The 16,059-nt window shown below is 32.9% G+C and overlaps 1 protein-coding gene across 2 annotated transcripts in view; it reads right to left on the reverse strand.

The window, feature by feature from the left end:
- Window positions 1–6,253, reverse strand: part of SI (sucrase-isomaltase) — a 111,335-nt gene extending 105,082 nt beyond the window's left edge. Inside the window, exon 1 of one of the 2 annotated variants that reach the window (XM_047448735.1) lies at window positions 6,236–6,253. The gene's annotated coding sequence lies outside the window, so the exon portion shown is untranslated. The other variant, XM_047448736.1, reaches the window with a different exon arrangement.
- Window positions 6,254–16,059: the final 9,806 nt, after the last annotated feature.

The raw sequence follows: 16,059 nt of genomic DNA on the forward strand, positions 1-16,059 counted from the left end.
CTTGGATGGTGCTATGGTCTGAAGGTTTACATCCCCTCCAAATTCATATGCTGAAATTCCTACCCTAAAGATGATGCTATTAGGAATTAGGGCTTTTGGGAGGTAATTAGGTCATTGAGATGGAGCTCTTGTGAATGAAAATAGTGCTTTTCTATAAAAAAGGCCCCAAAAAGAACCTATGCCCCTTCCACCTTGTGAAGTCACAACATGAATGCACCATCTATAAACCAAGGATATGGGTCCTTACCAGACATCAAATCTGGCAGCATATTGATCTTGGATTTCTCAACACCCATGATTGTGGGAATTAAATTTCTATTGTTTACAAACCACCAAGTTTGTGGTATTTTGTTACAGAAACCCAGACAGACTAAGATAGATGGAGAAGAGCTGGTTGATTTCAAACATAAGTTCTTGGGGAACTTCCTCCCAGTTATATTTAAAAAACATTCTTTAATCTTCACTGAAGCAAATTGACAAAACAAATTGCTACCTAGTAAGTTTCAGTCATTTGATATGTAAAAATTTTTTTCTGTATAATATTATCCATGCTATGAAATACACAAAAATTAACAACTAATGAAAATGAATGTCTGAGAATATTTATAATTATCACTATAAATATTATAAATATAATTGAAAATACATTTCCTTCCTGAAATATTCCAGTCCTAAAATATTCAGCTTGTTAATAATTTTCTTTCTCCTACTTCCATATTTTATTCTAGGAAATTTATTACAGAAAATATCACTTTTGGAATGTGAAATATTTGTTCACATATTGGAAACAGCTATTCTAAAAAGACTAGAGACAATAAGAAATTTAAACAGGACATGATTTCTCTGTAACGGTTATTAACTTATACATTCCTGAAACAGAAGTTTCACAAATAACAGTAAACATAAATAAAAATAAAGTGAGGCAACTCTGAAATTAATCCACTCTCCTTAGAGCACTGTGAGGCTTACCTACTTTTAATTAAATATTTGACAGAAACTTGTGGCCATATTTCTTTGGCAAATAAATTGAGAATCCTAAAACCAGCTTAGAAACTTGTTTTTTCTTCAAATTTCTCTAAGGTTATTGCTATACTATTAAAGTTAATTGGTAAAACTTCATAGACCTGGGTGTTCACCAGACTCTCTCAAACTAATTTTTAATTCTAATTCTATGAAGGTTTTAACAATGATAGTAACTTATCAATGAAACAGGGATTAAACATTTACTTTATCTTTTCTTCACACATAAAACCTAATTGGAATAATATTTGTTAATTAACTAGCAGTTACTAAAAGTACATTTGAAATCAATTCAAGTATAAATTTTTTGAAAGTAATGAAGCAGTCTCTATGAGTAAGCATCTCCAAGACGTGGACCTTTCTAATTCTTCAATCAAGATTACAGCAATCATCTTCCAAAACTCCTTTTTGTATTCATCCACATAATCAATTATTTCTAGAAACATAAGTTTTTGGGCACAAAATATGGGTTCAATTGCTTATTTAACTCAAATGTTTTCTAAGCCAATGGCCACCAACATAATCAAGAAACGCTGTCCAGCTCTAATATTCACATTTACCACAGTGTGAGATTTTTATGACCATTCTAACCTATCGGTATGTTAAATAATGCCATATCTGTATTAGGGAGAATAAATGAAAGAATAATATTCCCTTTCTACAATCACTGCCTCATAAACAATGTGTGCACTTCTACTGGATGCAAAAGTCTCAATTTATTAAACTTTTTATGAATAAATTGGAAAAGTGTTCAATTAAAATGAGAGAATCAGCCATTGTGAAGACATTTTATGTTGTTAAAAACTTCTTTGATGTTTTCAGAATATACAAGACAAATGTTACAATACTAGCATTGTAATTATTTTCCCCAGAATACGCAAAGTTCTATAGCTACAATATGACATCAGACTAATAGTTGGGGTTCATTTTAGGTTTACATTGTAGTACTCAAATTATATTAAAAGAAATCCTGGCCAGGTGTGGTGATTCACCCCTGTAATCCCAGCATGTTAGGAGGCCGAGGTGGGTGGATCACTTGAGGTCAGGAGTTCGAGACCAGCCTAGTCAACATAGTGAAACCATGTCTCTACTAAAAGTACAAAAATTAGCAGGGCATGGTGGTGCACACCTGTAATCCCAGCTACTTGGGAGGCTGAGGCAGGAGAATTGCTTGAACCCAGGAAGCAGAGGTTGCAGTGAGCTGAGATTGTGCCACTGCACTCCAGCCTGGAGCAACAAAGCAAGACTCCGTCTCAAAAAAAAAGAAATCCTAATTGAGAAAAAAATCCATGTTACATGTCACCCATAATACATGAACCTAATGAGTTGTTTCACTCTTACCCAACAAAAGATCCTAGAAACATCTAATGCTGTGCTTTGGATAGGAACTAGGTTGCTGGCACAAAACTGAAAACACCACATCAAGACATGCTTTAATGAGAATAATATGTCAGCATCTTTCACAAATACAGAATTGTTAGGACTTTCTACTTTTTTGTTAGGTTAATTTGGCAACAGGATTTTTCAAAAAGTAGTTTATGCTTCAAAATGTCTAGATTCTGCCTTCTGCACAAAATTTAGAAAGTTGGAAAGGTCATAAGGCTACCACATTTATAAGAAAACATTTGAATACTCTTCAAAATACAACTTTCCTTGAACCCATTTGGCAGTTGGAGTTACAGTAAAACTATTAACTCAAAATCTAAGTAAATCCAGAAGAACTCAAAGAGTTACAGGATATTAGCTCTTGTGTTCTTGAAGCAGATGGGCATTAATGCCATGCAAGTGAGTAAGGAGTATGCCACTGGAACCTGTAATGAATTGCTAAAGCTGAGTGTGGGCAATCATGAGAGTGTGGAAACTCTGTCAGCCAAAGGCACAGGGGAATTTGCACCCACTCACAAGTTCTCATGCGTAGAACTGCAGACTGGGTGGAGAGTTTTGTGAATCCCTCCCTTATGAGACAGTTTCAGTGGAAATATATGACTGCTACTGCAAGAAAAGTACAATATCCCACGTGCTCCCCTACAGAGCAAAGGCCTTAGGATGCTGGGAAAAGGTAACAAATCTGGTGTCCTTAGGACACAGGTGAAGACCTGAAGCTAGGGCAATGAAATAGAAACAAACGAACAAATACACAAAACAAAACAAACAAACAAAAAACTGTCTTGGAGAATGGGTAGAAATATGTTTTGGACCTGGACCACCAGGAGGGTCTCCTTGCCACTGGGTTGGGACAGAATCACTGAGTAGACCACACCCTTGAGACCCAGGTACACAGCACCTGCTATAATGGAGGCCAAACTAGAACAGAGAACGACACCCTTATCAAACCAGGTAAAAAGCATTGAGAAACAGGGAACAGTAGTCTACTGTTAAGGGAATGGTCAAGAGAATGGAAAGAGATATTCTCTGAGGCACAGAGGAAAATATATGACCTAAAGCCAAGGGTCAGCAGATATCCAGAAAAACACACTCTGCAAGCCAACCATCCTTACAACCACCCCTGCTTCAATCTTAAGGAGATTCTATAGATATTTGAAGCTTATAGTTCAATTAGGGTACTCATAGCAACAGCAATATCCAAACCCAGTTTAGCTCCTAACTAGAGTGACACGACATTCCACAACAAAGGCCTAGCAAAGGCAAAAATGTAACCATTTCCAGGCATAAGTTTTATACTTTTTACCTCAGGCTCCACTATCCTACAAAAGATATCCCAGTTTAATTTTGCTATCAGATTTATATTAATTATCCAACTATGCTAAATAATGTGTGCCCATAAAAACGTGGATGGTATAGTATCCTCCTTTATTTACCTTATTCAGTAAACATATTAGTGATGGCACATTAGCTGATTAAAATGTATTGAGGCAAATTTTTGGTGATGCAATGAGATACGTACATTCTATGAAGTTTTAATGCCAGAAGGTATACTACAGGAGAAATGCTAACCCGTGCTTATTTATGTATATATGTAGGAATTACAATTCTTCATGCAAATTATTTTTACTTAAGACAATAAAAAATTCATATGTATGTAAAATTAAAATAAAAAATAAAGGTCCAGGAACAGTGGTTCACACCTGTAATCCCAGCACTTTGGGAGGCTGAGGAAGGTGGATCACCTGAGGTCAGGAGTTCAAGACCCCCCTGGAGAACATGGCAAAACCTTGTCTCTACTAAAAATACAAAAATTAGTTGGGCATGGTGGCACATGCCTGTAATCCCAGCTACTCTGGAAGCTGAGGCAGAAGAATCCATTGAACTCAGGAGGCTAAGGTTGCAGTGAGCCCAGAACACACCACTGCACTCCAGCCTGGGCAACAAGAGAGAAACTCTCTCTCAAAAAATAAATAAATAGGCCAGATGTGGTGGCTCACACCTGGAATCCCAGCACTTTGGGAGGCCGAGGTGGGTGGATCATGAGGTCAGGAGTTCGAGACCAGCCTGGCCAATATGGTGAAACCCCGTCTCTACTAAAAACACAAAAATTAGCTAGGCAGTGGTGTGTGCCTGTAGTCCCAGGTACTCAGGAGGCTGAGGCAGAAGAATCTCTTGAACCTGGGAGGCAGAAGTTGCAGTGAGCCGAGATTGTGCCACTGCACTCCAGCCTGGGCGACAGAGTGAAGACTCTGTCTCAAAAAATAAATAAATAAATAATAAATACACTTAAAAAATAAAACAACATGGGTCAAATTGCTGGTAGCATTAAAATTCAGAATTCAGAACCCGAACTGAATATAAACATTTTAAAGGTTTTTTTTTTAAACCTTTTAACATGGTCTACCAATTTCTGACTAAATCATTTAGAAAAACATATTAAGAAAATGGACAAATATTCCTGTACATAGATACTAAGAACTAAACTTTAACTATGATTTGGATTCAGTTTATATTGCTATTTACTATAAAATCAATATTGCTTTGATAATTAAATTTTAGGTAACATTATCAAGCTAAAAACAATATTTTTGATCATCAACTTAGAAATGAGACCTTTGACCCACATTCAAATGAACTTTTTCACCTCCCAAATTTGCTGTCTTGGTTTTAACTTTTTACGGCCTTTTCTTTTTTCTTTTTTCTTTTTTTTTTAATTAAATTGGTATATTCGTCTTCTTTGAAGAACATTGTTATGGCTGTCTTTAGTTTTCATATTGGCAAATTTAAATCAGAAGATACAAAAGAAAAACAGAGATGTCCTTCTAGAATTCAGACGGAAGTGATAAAGATATAAAACTAATGAAAGAGCAAATATTAAATAGAAACAGGAGAGATTAAACTATTGATTTATAAGTAAAAATAAAGATGTTGGGAGAGAGGGTTAAGAAGACACGACCCAAATGCCCCACTGAGGTGACATTTATGTTATGACCAGAATGACTTTAGAGAGCCAACCCTATGCAATTCTGGAAACAGTGTCAAAGAGAAGCCACCCCTGGTACAGACACTCACAACTGGAAGTGAATCTGCCAAAAGTGAATAAGGGGCCAGTGTGGCTGTAGAGATTCTGAGGGTGGGGAGCAGGAGCAGAGAGAAGAAGGATCCTGGGCCCTGGGAGATGAGGTTAGCGATCTGCTCTTCTTTGACAACATCACCCCAAAGCTTAGCATTTTAAACAACTACTTAATATTTCACAATTTGTGTGGACCAGAATCAGCACCGCTTAGCTGGGTGCCTTTCCTCAGGGTCTCTGATGAGGCTGGGACTGTGGTCTCAAATGAACCTGGATTGGACGAGCTACCAGGATTCAGTGTGGACTGAATTACTCTCTGCTTGAGTTCCTCCCTGTCTGTTGGCCTAGGCACTCTCTCCGTTCTCCGGCATGTAAGCATCTACACAGGGCACCTTATAACATTGGAGCTCACATCCTCAGTTTGAAAAATACGACAGAGAGGCACAGAGAGAAACAAGAGAGAGAGACAGAGACAAAGACAGAGATTGAGGCAAGAAACATAGGACAGAGCAAGAAGGTGGAAAATGACAGCTCTTTTTGTAATGAAATCTTGGGAATTGCAATAGACAATGTTTTTCTCCCCAAAATGTACATGTGGAAATTTTAACCTTGAATGTAATGGTATTAGGAGATCGGAGTTAATTAGGAACTGAGGGTGGAGGCTTTATAATTAGAATTACTGCATTTATTTAAAAAAAAAAAGAGAGAGAGAGAGAGAGAGAACCCCCCCGCATTGTCTCTGCCAGGTGAGCATACAATCTGAAGTCTGCAGTCTGCAACTCAGAAGAGAGTCTTCACCAGAGCCTGACCGCGCTGCCACCGTGATCTCTAAATTCCAGCTTCTAGAACTGTGAGAAATAAAATTGTGTTGTTTACTAAAATATACATATATATTGCTTTATATGTAAAAATTTTAAACTTTAAATGAAAGGAACTTTTCAACCATTGATGTACACTTATAATGAGGCCACAAAGAAAAACGTACATGTAAGTATACATAACTACATATGTGACATATATATTCAATGTAATGTTATTGTATAATACAGAATATATGTAATAATTATAATAATCATATGTGTTATATATAATCAGTTATATAATTTAAAATATGTAATGTGTAACTAATATACTTATGTATGTAGTTATATAAATAAATTCATGCATTTAAAACAGACTTACATAGCTGACTATATATTGATTGAATATACTATCAATGTGATTATACAGCTTATATAAAATATATAATGTGATTATATAATGTATACATAATTATATAAAATTTTGCATATTTATTATATATTTAATTTGCAAAGACCATGTGAAATTTTCATTTCATGTAACATAGTTTTAATTTTCTTAATTTTTTAAAGTTTAACTTTTTTTGTAGTTGTTGGTTCATCACCTCAGTGTCATATCTACAAAGTCTTTGCCTAACCCATGGTGACTTAATTTTTATTAACTGTGTAAAATCTGGGAAGATTTATTTTTTGCATATGGATGTACAGTTTTTCCAGTGCCATTCATTAGAAACCAATGTATTCTTTCTCGATTGAATAACTTTCACACCTATATTCAAAATATATTGTCTATATAAGTGTGGGTCCATTTCTGGACTCTATTCTGTTCCAAAGATCTATGTCTAGCATTTCTCAAATACTACACTATTTACTGTTTTAGAGTAATTCTTGAAAACTGGTAGAGTTCATCCTCTAGCTTTGTTCTTTTTCAAAATGGCTTTACTTATTTGAATTCCATATATATATATACACACACATACATGTTAGAATCAGTTAGGACATTTCTACCAAAAATTCCTGCTGAGATTTTACTTGTGATAGCCTTGAATTTATAGATCAGTTTCGAGAGATATTACATCATAACAGTATTGAGTCTTTCAATCCATCAACATGGCATATCTTCCGATATATTTAGGCTCTCTGGTTTCTTCATTTAGAAGTTTTCAGCATGCAGATCTTGTTTATATTTTTTAAAAGTTACACCTTAATGTTTCTGTGTTTCATGGTGCTAGTGTAAAATACATTTCTTATATTAAATTTTAATTTTAAGTGTTAATTATAGAAATACGAATGATTTTTGTATATTGATCTTGTATCTTGCAATTTTGCTAAACTCACAGAGTTCTTGTACCATTATTGATAATCATTGAGACTTTTACAACAATGACCACGCTGTCTGATTATAGAGTAAGTTTTATTTCTTCTTCAAAAATGTTTGCGTCTGTTATTTCTTTTCCTTGTTTTATAGCACTGAGACCTCCAAAACAATGTTAAATAGGGGTGATTTGACTAATCATTTTTGCCTTGTTCCTGATCACAGAGGAACCCTACAATCATTCACTATCTTAAGTAATGTTATTTATAGGGTTTTTCTTTGTAGATACTCTTGATCAGGTTGAAAAAGTTACCTTTCTTGTTTGGCTAAATGGATGCTAATTTTTACTTAAAGCTTTTCAGCTTGTATTAAGATGATCAAATTCCTTTTCTTTCTGTTAAACTGGTGAATTTCCTTGATTAGTTTACTAATGTTAGAAAAAGTCTTTCATTTATAGAATAAATTCTACATGATCATATGTATTACATGTATTATTATATATTTATCGTAACCATATGTATTATTATATGTATTATTATACATGGATCATATGTATTATTATAATACATATGGTTGGTTTTATTTTCTAGTATTTTCTTGGGCTTTCATGTGTCTCTGTTCATGAGGATACTAGTCTCTAATTACTTAGTCTGGTTCGATATCTGTGTAAAGCTGACCTCATACAATAAACAGGGAAGTGCTTCCTCCTCTTCTATAATCTTCTTCCTCTTCAGTATTTATAAAGCATTGGCATTATTTCTTTCTTAAATGTTTGTTAGAATTTATCAGTGAAATAATCTGATCATGGGGGCTTCTTTTCAGCTATATATTTAGCTATAAATTATTTTTCATAGATATTATAGTCTAGTAGCTTATTTAGAATGTAAGATCAGATGTCATCATCCAATATAATGTACAAGATAAGAAATTTGAGTTCACTAAATTCTGACTGGAATTTTTTGTTCATCTATATGGTTTAGACTCATTAAAGACGGCATTCACATCTGAGCAACTAGAGTAGTAGTAATAAATTTACCAAGTGTTTGATTAAGTAAATTGATCATCACAATTTAAAGTAAAACTGCATAAGTTAAATTATGCATAGAGATACTGAAAAGATATTTAATAAGACTATGTAACAAATAACATTAATTTTTAATTTCCTACATAAATGAAAGTTATTCAAAATCAAAATTATTGCTTTATTTTATATATATATTATTATATATATTATATTATATATTATATATATTATTTATATATAATATATAATATATATATCATTATATATAATCTATATTATTATATATAATATTATGTATAATATATAATATTATACATAATATTATATATTATAATATAGATTATATATAAATATATAATATATTTATATATAATATATTATATGATATATATATATTTATATATAATATAATATATGATATTATATATAATATATAATCTATATTATAAATAATATATAATATTATATATTATATATATATTATAATATATAAATAATATATAATATAATATAATATATATATTATATATAATATCATATATATTATTTATATATATATACATTCAATTTTATGGATGTAAATTTACATAGCTTTGCTTTTTCCTGGGCAACTACCATTTATTGTGAGGTGAAAGTTACCTAAAATGTAAAACGTAAGAAAGGTTAACCATAAGTTAAATATTTTCTATTAAAAAAAGGAAAAGTCAAATAAATACTAGGCAGGTAATTTAGTTCAGGTAAACAGAGTAGGTTAATAATACCATTATCAATGCAGTTAAAATATTTTGGTAGATCAGTTTTGCTTCAAGATAAAACAGAAACACCTTGATTTCAGCCTTGGAGTCTGATTTTATTAAGAGTCGTAAAATAAGAAGAGAGGCAACTTCTATAAATTCTTGTTTAAATCACACTTTTCTTTCTTTACAATTTGCCACATACTTGTCATATTAATGACACCACAAAGCCCCTCAAAAACGGCAAATATGTCTTAAATGCATCCCTTATGTCTCTAAATTAGAATAAATATTTAATTAAGTAAATTGAAGTGAGAAAGTCAATTTTTTTTTTTAGTTTTCAAATATTTTATAGAGTAAGTGCAATTTTTGTCACAAATACATTATAATTTCCAAGAGACCTTCAGTTCTGAAAGCTAATTGCTATGAGATAGATTTTGTACTTTAAATTTATTTATTCATCAATATTTAGCAACTTTTTATCAGACATTGTTTTAGGCACAAATGATAAATAGCAAAAATGACAATACTTTGCTTTACACAATTAAGTGGAGAAGACAGCGAGACAAACAGTGGTTAAAATACAGTAATATTTAACTCTAATATCCTAAAGACTTAGTACATAAACATCTCAAATCCAATTATTTCCACCTCTCACTCTGCTTTGTTTATGTTATTTTCAATTTATTTTGTTTTTGGTTACAGACTTTAATAAGTACAAAGGAATTTGTTGGAAACCAAAAGAGTTCGCATCCTCGTTTCTTTTTTTTTTTTTTTTTTTCTGGGATCCCTTTTATTATACTTTAAGTTCTGGGGTATATGTGCAGAATGTGCTGTTTTGTTACATAGGTATACACGTGCCATGGTGGTTTGCTGAACCCATCAACCTGTCACCTACATTAGGTATTTCTCCTAATGCTATCCCTCCCCTAGCCCCTTACCCCACAACAGGCCATGGTGTGTGATGTTCCCCTCCCTCTGTCCATGTGTTCTCATTGTTCAACTCCCACTTATGAGTAAGAATATGTGGTGTTTGGTTTTCTGTTCTTGTGTTAGTTTGCTGAGAATGATGGTTTCCAGCTTCATCCATGTCCCTGCAAAGGACATGAACTTATCCTTTTTTTACGGCTGCATAGTATTCCATTGTGTATATGTGCCACATTTTCTTTATCCAGTCTATCATTGATGAACATTTGGGTTGGTTCCAAGTCTTTGCTATTGTGAATAGTGCTGCAATTTGACCCAGCAATCTCATTACTGGGTATATACCCAAAGGATTATAAATCATCCTACCATAAAGACACATGCATATGTATGTTTATTGCATCCTCATTTCTAATACTAAAAATAAATCAACATAAGTAATTATTGTATGTTTATTTAAATTTTATCTTTGTGTAAATAGTTTATTGATTTTAAGCCACAAATTCAGTTCTTCCTATCCTGAGATTGTATTTTCTTGTCTTTTGATACATTTGATAATGTATTTAAATATAACACATTTGATAATGTATTTTAAAAAGTAAAGTGCATTAAGATCAAATAAGATTGGGTCTGATTATCGCTGGCAGTCACAGTGCTTTCCAGAATGAAAGTCTTTGCTTTTGCAGATGGTTATTGATTTTTGCATTGATTTTTTTATTTTGATACTTTATCCTCTTAATTTCTGAGATCTGATGCTCTGTATGAATAAGTAAGAAAAAACAGATGCTTCTTATTTTCTCCTTATTTTATACTTGTACAATAATTGTAACAGAATAAGATCATGGGGTTTTGTGTTTGAAGTTTTGCCTGTTTTTGTTTTTTTTTCTGTAAGTTCATATTTTATTCCCTCAAGTTATTGTAATTGAAGTATTTCTTTAAGATAATAAACATGAAATAGCCTGTAATTCACTATATGATTTTTATGTTTTTAACTTTTTATCATGTTTTCATTTCTCATAGTGAATGGCATGCCTGAAACATGTAAATTGGTAAATGTTAGACAGAGTTACTTAGTAAACCTGAACGAAACAAACCTTCCTAAAATCTGCCAATGTTAGGAAGGTTACCATATCAAATCAGTGAGGGGAAATTTATTTCTCTTACTTAGCTTAAAATATTTGGACAGGCTGCTATAATAAGAAATGTAAATTTAAAATTTTAGAAGTAATTTCACTTGAAACTTCAATAGATTTACAAGAATTATATTTCATATAGCACAGCACTGATATTTAAAGTCTGAACTCCTTAAAGATCAAGTCTAATGCCCTCACTATAATGAAGACTTTTCTGAACTCCTCCACCCCACTTGATTCACCCTAGCTAACAGCCATTTTATCCCTGAAACCCCATTATGGTACATTAGATTCCTCTTATCTCCCTTTTCTTGTTTTATAAATATTTGTGTATATTTGCCAACCATCTTAATAACACTCTTTCAGTGTTCCAAACATCACTCAATGTGTTAGCAAGTAATCTTTCTTGTTTACATATGATTACCTCAGTGAATAACAAAAAGAACTTATAGTTTACTTACATATAAACAACATCATAAAATAGATTAACATTTGAAATGAGTGTATGAGAAAAGCAGGAGAGAGAGAAAAAAAGAAAGATGATAGAAAACATGAAATATGATTAGAAGAAACCAGAATTAATGATAACACAAATATTGATGATGTAATTTCCTCAATATTCGAACAGATCATAACAAATTTTATTTTATGCTCTCTAGTAGTCTCTGCCAAATGAGTCAGACTTAGTTACGTAATTTCCAGTGTTCATAAATAAAATCAAACCAGTTGTCCACAAAGCTCACATCAGTTTCTTATATTGAGAGTGTGAATATATTTATCTCACGGGTCTTGGTGTATAGGGTACAGGAAAGTAAAGGATATCACCTCACCTTGTTACAGTGTCTAAGGCAGTAAGTTTCATCCATTTGTCCTCTCAATATAGACCCAAACAAAAATGGGTCAGATATGGTTGGCTGTGTCCCCACCCAAACCTCACATTGAATTGTGATAATGCCCATGTATCAAGGTCAGGGCCTGGTGGAGATAATTGAATCATGGAGGCGGTTTCCACCATACTGTTCTCATGGTAGTGAATAAGTCTCATGAGATCTGATGGTTTGATAAATGGAATTTCCCCTGCACAAGCTCTCTTTCTGTCACCACATAAGACATGACTTTGCTCCTCATTTGCCTTCTGCCATGATTGTGAGGCCTCCCCAGCCATGTGGAACTGTGAGCCATTAAACCTCTTACCTTTATAAATTACTGTATCTCAGGGTATGTCTTTGTTAGCAGTGTGAGGACAGATTAATAAAGGGTCTATTCAGGGAGGTAGTTCAGTATAATCAATTTTATAGTCAAAACCATGGCATTTTATGATTAAATTTCTGCTTATCTTGCTTAATCCAAGTATAGATAGTAGAATGCTTAACCTTCCCGTTTTCAATTTTTTATTCTCCTACACATTCTCCTGTATACTGGCACCATAAACTACCTTCATATTCCAATCTAGACTTCTAGACATCAGCAGATGAAAAAAATTCTAAGCAATTACAAATTGAGCTACTCAATGCTACCTAACAACTGTGGAGTAATCTTTGTGAAACTACTATATTTGAATATTTTCTTGAATTTTTCTCATACTTTTACAATGGAAAAAAAAGAGCAAGTTTTAATATCAGTGATCACAAAGTAGTGGTTTCATATAGTTAGGACATTTAATTGGGATAGTCCAATTAGGACTATTTGGAAAAAAAAAAAAGATATCCTTAGGTGTGATTAAAGCTGAAAAAATTTTCCTCAATCTAAGGCTCAATGAATTTAAGTAAACTAATAATGATATCAACTGTGAAAAAACTATGCGTGAAATCCCAGAAATACATATTATGGTATTAAAAAAGAAAGATACAATTTGGGATCATTTAATATGTTTTAAATCTCTGGAAACATAAAAGGTTAAAACCAGAAGACTAACTCTATTACTCATTATCAGGACTACATTGTGTTTCTTGCTCTCTGGTCTCCAAAGTGAAAGATGAATAAATTTGAGTAGCAACAATTCAACTGTATACCCAAGGAGGTTCAGTGTGTGTGTGTGTGAGCGCGTGCGCGCAAGTACTTGAGATATAAATGTAAATATTATCCATTATCCTTTCCATCTTATTTTCTCCTTCCTTAAAAAAGGTATTTTTGAAAAACAGAAAAAAAGAATACTAGAAAAGAAATTTATGAGAATGTATATATTAAGTTTATGAGACGAGGAAAATTATTAAAATAATATATTAAGACAAGTATCTTCAATATCAGAAAAAGTAATATTGAGAATTTGGATTACACTTGAAAGTAGTTAAAGATATTAAGAGACATGGTATAACTAAAATAATAATAATAAATGATGAGTCCATCCTAGCTTTTTGGTGGTTTAAAATATATTTAGGTGTACAGTATAAACGTAAAATTATTTGTGCAATTTTAGAGCAAAAATTACTAGTGAATAAAGCATTTGATTATAACGATCCTTATAATAGTCACATCTTGAATGCACAACTTGTCTTAAAGGGAAAGCATCTGATATGACTATCTCTAATCGTAATCAATTGCTGATTAATAATCTATAAGAAAATGAAATCATCTGCATCAGATAAAACTTTCTGTCATGAACTGGCAATAAAAAACTTATAAATATATTTTCTTTTTCTTTTCTTTTTTTTTTTTTTATTTTTGAGACGGAGTCTCGCTCTGTCGCCCAGGTTGGAGTGCAGTGGTGTGATCTCGGCTCACTGCAAGTTTCGCCTCCTGGGTTCACGCCATTCTCCTGCCTCAGTCTCCTGAGTAGCTGGGACTACAGGCGCCCGCCACCAAGCGCAGTTAACTTTTTGTATTTTTAGTAGAGACGGGGTTTCACCGTGTTAACCAGGATGGGCTCGATCTCCTGACCTCGTGATCCGCCCGCCTCTGCCTCCCAAAGTGCTAGGATTACAGGCATGAGCCACCGCGCCCAGCCTATAAATATATTTTCAGTTATAACTTAAGGTGATGAAAAACATTACATTTTCTTTTATCTACAATTTATCTTTACTTTTGTTTTTTACTTTATATTCTTTACCCAGGATATTTTTAGAAAGTGTACATTACCAGAAAATAAAGACACTTTACTGCTTCTCAAGGATTGTTTATACCAAATGGATAAAGTATTTGGGAAAGAAAAATTCCATTAGAAAAGATGTAGCTAGCTGATTCATAAATGAAGCATTTCTTTTTACCAGTATATTAGCTAAAATGAAATTAGATTTATATTTGTGTTTTTCAGCTAGGATTTCATGGAAACAACATTTGCCTTTTAAAAGTGGAATTTTTTTTCATAATTGTGAAGGGAATATTGAGCATGTCTTAAAAGAACAGCAAAAATAATACGGTTTACTGAATTTAAAATTACTTTAGACCTCTGTATTTTCTTAAAATCCTACCCCTCAGAGAATTTTTTCTTTAATTGTTGTATGTATGCTGAAAACTACTAAATTTGTTTTTCTAATTCTTTTTCTTATCAAAACTACTATGTCCCAAACTTTCTATTGTACTTTTTGTCTAGTATCATCTTCTTACCTAAGCTACAATATGCCTAACAAAATGCCACACATTTTTACTTGAATGTGCTTCTATGCTTCAAAGTCGACAGTTCTGAAACCAAATTCAGTATTCTTTTTCTCAACTTGCTCCTAAAATGTTTCAAGACCTTTTTAGTGCCACTATTTCTAAAGTAACCATCCTCAATAGCTATCTAACATCTTTCATTAGATAGGCGAATTCATGTCAGATCTTGCACGAAGCTTCTGATCATCTCAGCTCTTAAGCTTTTCCCCTTCTCAGAATTTCTATAGATTTTTAGAAATACATTTAATACTAGGTAATTCTGTTTTGTTCCCTAATGGTTTTATGTATGTGGACTTAGCTATGAACATTATGTACTAAATGTCTTACCTAAATAACTTTTAATCTTAACAAAATTATGTTAAGTATAACCCATAATTCCCATTTTACAGACAGTTTGATGAGACTGAGAATAATAATATGTCTATTTCAAAGTTACACAGAACTTTGGTTTAATTCTACTCTGATGTATAATTTGTAAAATTTTCTATAATCATGTTTTCTCCTAATATATCATGGAATGTTTTATTTTTCCTTAAACTGTACCCAACTCTGAAAATAAAGCAGATAATGAATGGCTGTTGGTAGATTAGTAAAGAAAATCAGTCTTGCAAAAAAGAAGCTCTTCCTTTTTATTGCTGTTGTTGTTTGTTTTGTTTTGTTGTTGTTGTTGTTTGAGACAGAGTGTTGCTCTATCACCCAGGCTGGAGTGCAGTGGCAGGATATCGGCTCACTGCAACCTCTGCCTCCCAGGTGCAAGCGATTCTCCTCACCCTCCCGAGTAGCTGGGATTACAGGTGCCCACCATCATGCCCAGGTAATTTTTGTATTTTTAGTAGAGATGGGGTTTCTCCATGTTGGCCAGGCTAGTCTCGAACTCCTGACCTCAAACGGTCCACCTGCTTTGGTCTCCCAAAATGCTAGGATTACAGGTATGAGCCACCACGCCTGACCCTCAAAACTATTCTATTTGATGATAAATAAAGCAACACCATTCTGAGGGAATAATAAAATCATTGTCTATATTTGAATATATTCTAGGTTATTTATAGACACAATTAA

This window comes from Homo sapiens, chromosome 3, assembly GCF_000001405.40.
Source record: "Homo sapiens chromosome 3, GRCh38.p14 Primary Assembly".
Lineage (NCBI taxonomy): Eukaryota > Metazoa > Chordata > Mammalia > Primates > Hominidae > Homo > Homo sapiens.